At 41.0% G+C, this 12,734-nt stretch overlaps 1 protein-coding gene across 50 annotated transcripts in view; it reads right to left on the bottom strand.

The window, feature by feature from the left end:
- CDK12 (cyclin dependent kinase 12) overlaps positions 1 to 12,734 on the bottom strand; it is a 106,074-nt gene that overhangs the window by 25,915 nt on the left and 67,425 nt on the right. For 21 of the 50 annotated variants that reach the window (XM_047436278.1, XM_047436267.1, XM_047436277.1 and 18 more), the window contains exon 14: positions 10,624 to 11,014. The exons of 9 other annotated variants lie outside the window; for them this stretch is intronic. In XM_047436278.1, coding sequence (XP_047292234.1) covers positions 10,624 to 11,014 — 391 coding nt within the window. Of the gene's footprint in view, positions 1 to 7,100; positions 11,042 to 12,734 lie in introns of those variants that run through there. 20 more of the 50 variants (XM_047436256.1, XM_047436261.1, XM_047436260.1 and 17 more) reach the window with 3 other exon arrangements.

Here is a 12,734-nt window from a genome sequence, read left to right as displayed (position 1 = left end):
GGTGGCTCACGCCTGTAATCCCAGCACTTTGGGAGGCTGATCACGAGGTCTGGAGATCGAGATCATCCTGGCTAACATGGTGAAACCCTGTCTCTACTAAAAATACAAAAAAATTAGCCAGGCATGGTGGCGGGTGCCTGTAGTCCCAGCTACTTGGGAGGCTGAGGCAGAATGGCATGAACCCAGGAGGCGGAGCTTGCAGTGAGCCGAGATCGCGCCACTGCACTCCAGCCTGGGTGACAGAGCGAGACTCTGTCTCAAAAAAAAAAAAAAAAAAAAAAAGAGCCAAACTCAAACTCCTCCCATTAAGAGGAAAAGAAGTTGAGGCAGTCTAACTCTAACCCTGAATTTTGATAAAGCAAATGGGAGACTGAGAGCAGGTATGGGGCAGGAAGGAGTATGATAAGCATACCTCCCCACCCCCCAGACTTAGCACACACCTAGGGAGCCCCCCATAAGTAGTAGCTGCTAATCCAACTCAACTGTGTGTAGATGGGAAGAAGAAAGCAGGGACATGTGTAAACACATCCACAGCATTGACATAAGTGTTCAATCAATGTCCATATACTCTCATTCTCCCCTACTTTAAGCCTGTAACAAGCCATGGTGGGAGGCGACACCATATCCCAGTCTTCCCCTTCCCCAAAGTTGGAAAGGAAGACACAGTGAGACAGGAGCTACTTGGCTTCCTATAAATTGTTTTGTCCTTCCTCTCAGCTGCAATCAGAAGCTAAGGGCTCCCGCAGGCCTTGTTCTGATCTGCTGCAGGGAATGGAGGGTTTTTGAAACAGAGAGGACTTGGCTGAGGCCCCGTTTCAGCTGCCGTTGGGGCTGGCTAATGGGCTCATTCGGGAAGACCCCCGCCTGCCGCACTAAAGAGTCCCCCGCCGACCCCCGCCCCAGTCCCAGCCCAATTAATAAATGGGGGCTCCCACTTTATGGCTCTGGGAGCAGGAATCAGAGATACAAATGATCCCTAGGGAGGGACAGAAAAAGGCCTTCCAAGAATCAAGCTAGAGAATTGTGCATCCACAGGCACATGCTGCCACAGGCTAGTCATATCCCATTTTCAAAGCATTAAAGGGGAAGAAACTGGCAAAAATACTATTTTCTTTCCCAGATCCAGAGTAGGATAGCATTCTTGAAGTCTATGGGCACACCCTAGCAACAGACTCCCTCTTGCCTGGTTCTTCAACCTGAAAAGGGCAGGGTGCATGCAGGTTATCATCTGGACACATGGTGCATGCTCCACTATCCTCCAGGGGCAGTGCCCCCTCCTAGACTCTGCAATACTGAACATTGACACATCCTATCAATTGGTTAATAAGACAAAACACTTCCTACTTAAAAACAAAGCAGTTCCCTCTTATCAAGCTTTCATCACCACCAACAGCACAAATGTGTCTTGGGATCATCATCCTGAGGCTTTTATCCCTCTCCTCACATCCAAGCTGTGACCAAGCCTTGCTAATTCCTATGGACCCACTTTCTTTCCTCTGATTCTCCTTGTCTTACTCTACTGTAAACTCTCAGTGCTTCATGTCTTGGCAAGAACAATAATATTTTAGTGAACTTTCCTGCTTCCTTGACCAAGTACTGCTACAAAAGTCCTCAATGTGATTTTCATCTCATCATGCTCTGTTCCCTGCTACTGCTTAACAACTCAAATTCCTCATTCAAGCCAATGAGATTGCTCCTCCAACTTCATTTCCTAATACTCCTTTCCTGTACCATTCTGGTCAGCCAATTCACAGCCTCTGCACAAAACATACATGAGCCCTCTTCCATGAGATTCCTCCCACTGCTCACCTTCCTCTTCTGTTCTATGTCCCCTATCTTCTTTATTTTCAAATAATTGTTTCTGAATAAGTCCACTTTCTCCGATTATTTCTTTCCTTTGGTTTCCTCTTATTATAATAGTTTTATATTACAACCTGCATTGATATGTTGACTTACAGATTCCCCACTCTCCACCAGCTGTAAGACTGACCTCTCTCACAAGACCCAGAAGCTTCCTGAAGGTGGGACCCTCCCCCAGTCTTCTTCCTCAGAGGTTGTCCTGTCTGTACACAGGACATGCCTCTGCTAATGATATTAATGCTCCCCACTGAAGCAGCCCTCATGGTATAACTATTGGGATATTATATCAAACAACCATGAGGAACACAATCTTATTCTGTCAATTTTCAAATTGCCACCTGCCTTGAACTTGGCACTGAATCTCCCCAAGATTACAAATTCAGTTTCATGACTTCAAAGTGTTACAAAACAAAACAAAAAAACAAGTACAGTCACCAAAGGAATTTATCTCCTTCATTCATGGTAGATAAATACTATTCTCTTTGAAGACATTTTAGGATGAGAAGCTCCATTTTGTTTCCTATTTGTACAATTAATCCCACATTCTCAGGTCATGACTTGATTTTCCAAAATGAAAATCAATTCCAGAGCCAAGAGTAATCTTGGTCCCTATCAGTCCTAACTCTTATCAACATGTTTTGGAAGGTCTCTAGGAATGGAGAAGTTATTTATGAGTCGCTTTCAACAGTTTGGCAAATACTTCCTTAGATTAACCTCACTCTCAAATGCTGACTCTTTACTTCCTCTAGTTTAGCCCTGTGTGGTTAGAGAGAAAAACGTGGTCTACCACTCCCTTTTATCTCCTACATATTGCTCAGGATACTAGCCTTATGTATGTATGTATGTATGTATGTATGTATGTATGTATGTATGTATGTATTTATTTGAGATGGAGTCTCATTCTGTCGCCTAGGCTGGAGTGAAGTGGCGCAATCTTCACTCACTGCAACCTCCACCTCCTGGGTTCAAGCAAATTCTCCTGCCTCAGCCTCCCGGGAAGCTGGGACTACAGGCTTGTGCCACCACGCCTGGCTAATTTTTTGTATTTTTAGTAGAGATGGGGTTTCACCGTGTAAGCCAGAATGGTCTCGATCTCCTGACCTCGTGATCCACCCACCTTGGCCTCCCAAAGTGCTGGGATTACAGGCGTGAGCCACCGCTCCCAGGTAGCCGGGGTTTGCCATTTATTCATTCTATCCCTTAGCCTCAAGGTGCTAATCAATCAAGATAAAAACAAAGCACTTAGGCAGCGCCTGACACATAGCAGGTACCCAACAATGTTAGTTCCCTTTCTCTCCCTTCTTTCTCGCAACACCATACATGTTCCTCGGCCTTTCTGGGCATTTTTTACTGGTTAAAGATGGTACTGAACCAAACAAACTAATCTTCTTTTGTAGCTCTAACATTCTGTGACTCTAATTCGCATATTCTCGTTTGTTCTTCTATGCACTGCCATCATTTGGATCTAAAATGAGTGGCAGAGGAATACTACTAGTCTCTAGGTTGACTTAGCATACCTAAAACCACTTGCAGGAGTTTTGAAATTCAAACAATACAAATAACTGTTTAATGTGATGCATCCATGTCATTCCTCCTTATTCTTGAATTACTCTCTTGAACTATGTAGATAACAGTGTTAAGTAAATGTCCTTACATATTGCTTAACATATTTGCCCATCTTTTCTAGTTTCCCTACAGAAAATGTCTTCATAGTATCCTAGGGGTTCTTGGCCCATCCTCCAACCCTAAAGGTAAGACTACTGTAATTAAGGGGAATTCTTTACTCAGTATTGGTGCTTTAATGGGGTCTTCCTGAAATGAACTGTGAATCTCTAAGAAAATTATCCTATAAATTTCACTAACTCAACCATAATTTTTCCTTCCATCCTGTATCCCTCTCTTCTTTATAAGCAATTATATCCAAGCTGGGCGCGGTGGCTCACTTTGGGAGGCCGAGCACTTTGGGAGGCCGAGGCGGGTGGATCACAAGGTCAGGAGTTCAAGACCAGCCTGGCCAGCATGGTGAAACCCTGTCACTACTAAAAATACAAAAAATTAGCTGGGCATGGTGGCACGCACCTGTAATCCCAGCTACTTGGGAGGCTGAGACAGGAGAATTGCTGGAACCTGGGAGGTGGAGGCTGCAGTGAGCCGAGATCACACCACTGCACTCCAAGAAGAGCAAGTCCATCTCAAAAATAAATAAATAAATAAATAAATAAATAAATAAATAAATAAAAATAAGGAATTATACCCCAAGTCTCTTTCTGCAGCCCAGCTACCAGACTCTTCTAGTTCTCCCTTCTTACCCTTATTTCCACCTCTTATATTGCTTCATTTTCTGAGACTTTTGGTCCCCTAACAGAAATTATAAATATTAACACTAGTATAAGGCCAAACTAAAAAGTTCCAGACTTTAAAAAAGGGACCAGGCTACTAAGCTTTCTTTAGGTCTTTGAATTCAGCCTGTTTTCTCCAGGTCCAAATGCATTCAAAATTGCATTAGCCTTGGTGAGGAGGGTCATCTACAAGCTGATCCTCACCAAGGGTGTCCCTCATTAGGCACTATTGTAGTTCTGAGACTGAGGAGGGAGAAGGATCCCCTCCTAGAGAGTCCATCAGATAGGCCCCTTAGGTAGAGAAAAGACATCCTCCAAGACTCAGACTTTGTTCTTTACTTAGCTCTGACTGCTATATGGTGGACTTCTTAAAGGTTTCTTCATGCTGCCTCCCTCAGGGTTGGTTTGGCCTGGATAAAATGCCCTTCATTCCTTTAGAGCTGTCAATACTATCTGTAGTTTACAAACATGCCAGAGCAAGATATCAAAAAGTCCATCCATTTACAGGTCCTAGAGAACCTGGGTCTAAGTAAATTTATTTCATGGCTATACCTTCTTATTCCACAGAAGTATGCTGTAGCTGAAGGTTGCAAATTGAGAATGGTCCACTAACAAACTACCCACTTAGAGGGTATGAAAGACAAACTCAGTATCAGTCTCTTTCTCTCAGCCTTGGAGTACTAATTTTTTGAGATAAGAGATATGAGAGAAATCCAGTGGTCAAAGTGTTTTGGCACCCCAGTGATTAATCACCAGGACATTAAAGCAACTCTTATCTGCTTTCTCTTAGATACCAGAGAGCCCTCTTCTCACCAAGCTTTACTTCCCACAGACACCATCTGCAACTGAGCTTAGAAATGTCATCAGCAAAAGCAACAATCTCAGGATATGGAAGAAGAGGATAAAAAGGTGAAGGTTGAAAGAGGGGAAGCAGGAAGACAGAAAGATGACTCCCTGCCTTTCCTGGCCAGGGTACAAAATAATCTTTTGTACCCTACATAACACAAATGAAAAGCTCCTTTCATAGCTCCTAGCAATAAGAAAGTATGGTTAGTTTACTTTCTCCTTCACTTTCCACTACAGTAGGTTGAGGATCCAGATAGACATTTGTCTTCTGAATTGACTCTCATTACCTTTCAAAACAATGAAATAGCAGTAACTCTAAATACCTGGTAGGGTTAAGCAATCAATACCGATGGTAGGCCTAAATTATTCCAGTTGAATGGTGAGTGGGGAGAAAGAGAAATAGGGAAAAGAAGTGGGTGGATAGGAGATGGAGAGACAGTTGCGTACAGTAAGGAGTACCACCAGTAATTCCTTCAGGTGTCGTACTCCCCCAGTCTTTCAACTCTGGCTTGGAGTAATCTCCTACTTGAGAGAATTCCTAATTAGGAACACTGGAGGTGTTCCTACAGATAAGAACTGTCACACCTGGACAGTAAAATTAACCAAAGTGTCCAGGAATGCTCACCTTGCCTCTCAGGACAACCAGAAGACTCAGCAGTTCCACCTCTCCCTTGGAATGGTTGAGTGCTTCCTCCCTTGAGGAATTCCCCATTCCCATTCCACTTAGCCCTTATGGATGATTAGGATATGAAAAGTCACTCCATAGTTAAAAAACAGTCAAGCTATGAGGCAATCTTTAATAACAATGGAAATCCCAAGATCAGCACCAAGAGCATTAACTGTTTACTTCTTTGAGGCATTAACCATACAGTTAAGGATGCCTATCTAGGAAAGAACAGTGCCTAAGAAATTGAGGTACTGAACAGCATGGTTTCTGGTTAGAAATGGCCTTGGGTATGACAGAAAAATCTAGGTTAGTAAGGTCCTCAGCCTTTAGGCCCAGAATTGAAAAGACACTGCTTCAATTTTCACTGCTATGAAGTGAAAACAGTATTTTCTAGTAGGTTGAAGTTTATACCCCAATCATGAACTTGCAACCAGGAACACATAATTCCAGAAATTGGAACAATCTTGAGCTCTCCATTCTCCTTATAAGATGTGACTTAGCCCACAGGAAAGGGAACACCACTTAAACTTTTGAGGATTCAAAAACAGGTTAGCAACTCTCATCATCACCAGTTTTTGAACTCAACTTCCTTCTAATTTCCCTTGCTCTGGTGTATCCCTTAACCTTCCTGTATGACTTGCTCACCCCATTTACAACTTCAGATACCTATCGCCCTTCTTTCTTTCTCCTAGTGGACTTTATCTGCCCTCTGCCCATTTGTCATAACTAGCAGGATTGCAGCACATACCACAGGGGCAAATTTATCCTGTGTTCTAAGCCATGAAAGAGAAGGGGAAGCAATTCTGTCTTCAGGTGGAGATGGGAAAGATTTTGGAAACAATAGAGATTTTAACTTTTAAACAACTTTTTGATTCACTTTCTGGATTGGCAACGCATCGGGAAATCTCAGCAAAGGTAGGTACACTAATCCCCATGCTGACTCTGCATGTAATAACATGGGAACTGAGGTAGGGTGGGTGGTGAAGTCTGGTTTAAGACTATCCTTTGGGTCTAAACAGCCTCTTACCAACTTCCCTTGATGACAGTTGAGCTCAAACCCACTTACCTCTCCTGTCAGGAGGAGTCAGGGTACATGAAGCTCAACTCTTTTGATGGTTTGGTACCATTATTTGTATAACTTTTCTACTTTAAAAAAATCACATTTCATGGTTTTTCCCAACTCATTTATTCTCTAGTTCCTAGTCTAGCGTTTTCAAGCACCTCTTCAAATCCTGATAACCTTTTGCTGGGAGGGGGAGTTAATGAGTCTATAATGATTCTGAGACAGAGAACCCCTAAGATAAAGTGGAGGAAAAACGTCCTTTATACATGATTAGATATGCTCAGGGGGTACAGATTAAGAAGTAAATGCAATGGAGCAAAAGTGGTATAGTAACAGGAAATATTTAATTTTCCAATCTCCACTTTCCATTTTTATAAACTGAAAGAAAAAAATTTAATATATTACAAAATATCTGTACATAGACAAGATACACCCAATGGGGGTCAAAAACGAGAGAGAAAGGAATCAGTGTCAGGAACCTAAATCAGGGAGAATGAGGTGGCAACTGACACTTTTCTGATGCAGCATTCTCTCTCAAAACCTGCTGGTAACCATTTTAGCACGGTAACTATATATGCATATTATATATACACACACACATACAAGTGGTTGGGTGATGTCTATGGCATAAGCTAATAGAAGTTCTACTTGCAAATTTGTGCTAACTGCCCTGCTTTAAACGTATAGATTTGATGTTGCTTTCAAATACTTATCGTTCCTATGGACAGTTGAAGAAAAAACTAAGGAAACTGGGTCAAGTATATTTGTTTTCAAAACCACAAAAATGATCACGGTCAAACCAGTTTTGCCTCCCACTCATGAACAGAATCAGATTTCTCATCTGTTCAAAATAATGTATTTAATAGACAATATCTCTCATTGTACAATAATTAAAACAAAACGAAAACCACTTTTGAATGGAATTAATTGGGTCTGTAATTTTCAAATAGTCAAGGTGAAATTCTGCCAAACCTTTACTTCCATCATGTTTATAGATAACGTAACTGAAAAATTAACAAATACCTTTTCTTCCTCCATACAGATTCCAGGATATTTAAATAAGTTTTTTTTTCTCCTCTGCTTTTAGAAATAGTCAAAACTACCAAACTTTGTTTTCATTTTAAAAGACTCCCAAAATGGGGGTGGGGGTGAGATGGGATCATACATACACATACACTCACACATACACTCACCCCCTTCCCTAGTAGGGATGAGGGAATGGAGGCTTAAGTATATTATTTAGGATATTTGGCATAATTAAAAATAAGAGGTGGGAGAGGGGAGGGAAAAACATTATTGATGACTGCTGATAACCAAAATACAATGAAATATATAGAGAATTTTATTCATATTTGATGGGAAACCAACTTTTTTTCATTGAACAGATACTTCTGAAAGTATCCCAGGCTCACGTTCTTTAATAAAAAACAGGGAGTGGGGCCCAATAACTCAAATTCAAATATTCTAAAACACAAAGGCCCATGTCTGAGGACTAAGAAGTCAACAGACAGAAGGTTCAGATGAACTTTAATGCGATTTACCAATAGCATGTCAGTAAGCCTAGTAAATCTAACTGGACACACTGGTATAAAAAGCCATCAATGCCAAAATAGCTAGAAGGCTCTCTTTCTAAATCAGTGTTTGGCCCTGGAGGCAAGGCCAGATCAAAAACCAGAGAATAATAAAGAAATACACACACCGATATCTAGCTATATCTCATTAACAGGGGAAAACAGTCTTCAAGTAAGTATCTGAAGAGGGTTCTTCTTTCATTTCTTTAAAGTTTTTTTTTTTTAAGTAATGCACCTTTCTCTTATAAGTAGATTTTATTTTTTAAAATAAGAACTTGGCATTGAAACATGAAACTTGAGTTTTGAAAACTACCCTCCAAGATGCTGAAGTATGTTTACTTTTTCTTTGTAAAAGGGGGCTTAACCTATGTTTCCTGAAGGTCTAAGTCTGTGCAGATAAATTATATGACATGTATCTGTTTTTAAAACACTCTATATGCTGGTACTCACATAGAAATAGAAGCCAGAATGAGAAGCCTCCCAAATTATCCCATCCTGACAGCCCTTCCCTTTTTCATTTCCTGTTTATGATAAGGCAAAGTTCTTGCCTGGAAGCACAATTTAACCCCTTTTACCAAAACCAAATCCAAATCTCTTTGGAGGAAAAATCCCTAAAAGAACTGGCAGGGTACACATGCTGGGATGTGGGTATGTCAATACTGTTCTTCCTCACAGTATGCTGTTTTAAAATTATTTTTTTAAAAAAGGTCAGGTATTGATGTATCTTCAGAAAAATACCCACCCTAAACTAGGTTACATTTCCATGTATCTTCAGGATTTGTTTTTCTCTTTGACAATATCACAATGCTCTGTTTGAAAGGTTTTTGTTTTTTTTTTGACATAAAAATATATGTGTAAACAATATGCTAAATGCTGTTATTAGCCCTCTAGGAATGGAGGCATCATCTCTAACCACAGCTCAGCAGCAATGTCCAAGCTGTCCACACTTACAAATCAACTTCCCCATCAGAACATGGTTTAAAAAACAAAACATTTTAGAATTGAAGAGTTACAGAGAACAATGTAAGAGTCTGAATTTCCTTTCCTTTATTTCAAAAAAAGTAAAGAATTATCCCAGGTTCTTGGGCATCTCAACGATTTTTTCCAAACAAATGCCTCAAAGAGAGAGAAACAGCGAGAGCGAGCAAGCGAGACAGAGAGAGAGAGAGAGAGAGAGAGAGAGAGAGAGAGAGAGAAAGAGAGAGAGAGAGCACACATCAGCAAAAAAGGAAAGAGACTGGGTAAAGTCTACCTACTTGCCCAAGAATGCCACGTTCTACAACCTGCTTTATGTGCAGGGAGAAGGGCGTATCTTTTGTCAAAGTGGAGTAAACTTTAAGGATGAGTAATTTATTTGGAAAAAAAGTATGTTCAAGATGCTCAATGGGGAAAAAGTGTTCACTTAAAAGCAAAATGTGAGATGGTGGAGAGGAAAGAAACATTTATTCAAATCAGCCAGGCCACTCTGTTTCCCTTATAGCAAAAGCCAAAGAGCAGCTCAAATTTTGTGAACACTATTCTCTTTAAAGGAAAAAAACCCAAAACACCTAAATTAAAATTCAAAAGAAAGAAACCACACACAATCCCCCACCCCAAAACTTTAAAAATCAAAGAGCCTCTCCTGAGCCATCTCAATACTGAAACTGTTCTTTCTCTCTTCCGATCAGTAAGTGCAGGCAATGAACTAATAAAACATTTACTTTTCAATGTAATGATCCTCTCCATATTCTCTACTTGTATCTACTAAGGTAGAGTTGAAGTAAATGTTCTGGCTATAGCCCATCCAGGGGGAACTGGTGCCAACATCATTATTTCGTAAGTCGCCTGCTAGTAGCAAGTGAGCAAGGAATACAACGGACAGCTTTGCAGTAGCCAAATGCAGATGATTACCTCGCTCTGGCAAATGATTTCATTAAAGATTCAGAGAACTGGATGGAAGGATGGATAGGAAAGGAATCTTTCAGGACACTGAAGTCTCTGGGTTAGTAAGGAACTCCTCTCCCTCTTCCCCCTCTTGGTGGGACTCTTGTAGGCCCCCGATAGAGTTTTCCATAAGCAGAAGACTGAGTTGGGCCCCCCCAGTGAAGGCCTGCTCCTGAGCTGCTGGCCCCAGTGGTTCCTGGCCCCAGCTCCCCATAGTTTTGCAATTTGGTCTCTGCATGTACCACAGAATTGCTGCTTCCCTCAGCCTTCAGGAATGGTTGCCCGACCACCGGGTGTAACGCTAAGGGGACCCTGGCAAAACGGAGGTCCTGGTCCCCTGGAAACTGCACTGACCCTGTGCCCTGGTAACTGCTGGACTCCCCAAGGTGGCTCAGAGAGCCTGAGAAGGTCCTGTTCTTCACCAGGGTCTGGACCAAGGATTCTGTCAAGGCTGGACCAGAGTTTCGTTCATCAGTGTCAATGGCACTGAACCCTGTTTCAGGCCCATCAGTGTTTCCATAAGTCCTGTTTGGACGGGGTCGGGTGGAGTACTCCATTGGTCTCAAGGCCTGGTGCTCATGTGGCAGGTGGCCAGGAGGCTCTGCTTCAGGCTGGGATAAAAGTTGCAGCAAGGCGGCTGTCACGGCTGGGTTCAACTCCTGGGGGGCGCTGGAAAGATCGCCTTCAACCAGAGGGGGTGGAGGTGGCGGCGGTGGAGGTCCGGGGGGCTCAGGGGGCCTCTTCTCTGGTGGAAGAATGTGAGGAGGACATGCTGTGGAAGGGTTACTTCTTTTAAACACCATCTTAAAAAGCACATGTGATTATAAACACAAACACACACACTGTGCAACATAAACAAATATCAATATAAGTAACCAGATATATAAAGAATAAAATCTTGGGATCAGAAAATTGCAATTATAAATAAATCAAGTGATTAAAAGTAAAACAGTTGCATCCTGGATCTAACAGCTAGTGTAAAAATATCATATGTTTCAAATGATTATCCTGATTTTGGTCTAAGATTTCCTCCATTTCCTTCCTTTAAAGAACTGTTCTAACATGCAGGCTGTTGGCAGACTCCCTGCCCCTTTTTGCTGTTAGATGGAAACATTAAAACAAAGCAGAAGGAAGGAAGATGAGAGGGAACAATATACATGCTGTGGTCACATTTCTAGGACATAATCTTGCTCTACAACAGAGACCTTGCATGGACTTGGCTAACACATTTTACAGAATGTTTGATGACATAGGTTAACCTGAAATAAAACTTAAAGAATATATAGGAGAGATAAAATAAAGTAAAAAGTTTTCATTACTGTCATGTATAAAAATACACTTGCTTCTCCAAACTTTAGTCACGTCTCCCCAAAATCATAGTCTGAAAGGATTGTAACTACCATATTATCATTCAGCTTCCTATGTTACAGTAATTTTAAAGACTAATTTCTATCATAATTTTCTATTTTGTTTTCCTAACTACTGCATTTTTTTCCATGCTATGAAAAAAAAATCACTATAGCAGTGTCATGCAGAATGAACTGTTGATAAACATCTGTTTATCTTGGAGACGGTGACAAGAACTAAATATTTAGAAATATATTAAATTCATACTATACTCTGTCTTTACAAAGATCTTTTGTCTTTCTTGAACTACTTCCACCAGACTTTCTTTTTTCCACTGCTGCCTAAATGTGCTTAAGCATGATAAACATTGTCTGATAATGAACTCCTGCCAAGGCAGGAGAGGAGAGATGTAAAATGGTATGAGTTTGAGGACAAAGAAAACCACTGAGACAGAAGTATGGTAGAACAATGCCTTTAGAAAATTGAGAGTCATCCTGCTGAAGAAAAGATTTAATGTTTTGGGATATCTTCCAAATGACCGATTTTTCTTTTCCCTATGGAAGCATATTTTAAAATATATATATAGTCATTCTTCAATTATCTAAGCTGTGATGTAAAGTCATTACTCAAAACAAGCCAAAAACAGTTTTTAGTTATAATTAGATATTTTTGTAGCATATTTACCTTAATTATATTTTGCAAAGACAATCAGTAATTAAGTTTGTATTCCCTTAGCATGCAGATGAAAGCACTCTGAAAACACTACAAAATTGTAAGGTTGTACAGTACAAAAGATGGTCAGGTGTTACATGTAACATCCAAGCAGGGTGACCAACAGTCCCAGTTTGTCTGGGACTGAGGGGGTTTTCCAGGTTGTCAATGTTCAGCTTTAAAACCGGGACAGTTCAGGAATGAATTGGTGACCCTATGTATAGTACCCACCCAAGTTATTTGTTGACTGATTGGCTGGTTGACAGGGTGGCAGGGGAAAATGAATTTAAGGACAAAAAATTAGCCATGGAAAATTTTGAACATGGAGAGTAGACATGCTGAAAAAGGAGGGCAAACTGGACTACAAGTAATGATAGATTTCAGAGCCTTTTGCTTTCAACACTCTC

Source organism: Homo sapiens, chromosome 17, assembly GCF_000001405.40.
Source record: "Homo sapiens chromosome 17, GRCh38.p14 Primary Assembly".
NCBI classification, from domain to species: domain Eukaryota; kingdom Metazoa; phylum Chordata; class Mammalia; order Primates; family Hominidae; genus Homo; species Homo sapiens.
Note: the sequence above shows the minus strand (reverse complement) of the source record. Positions and strands in the feature narration are given on the sequence as shown.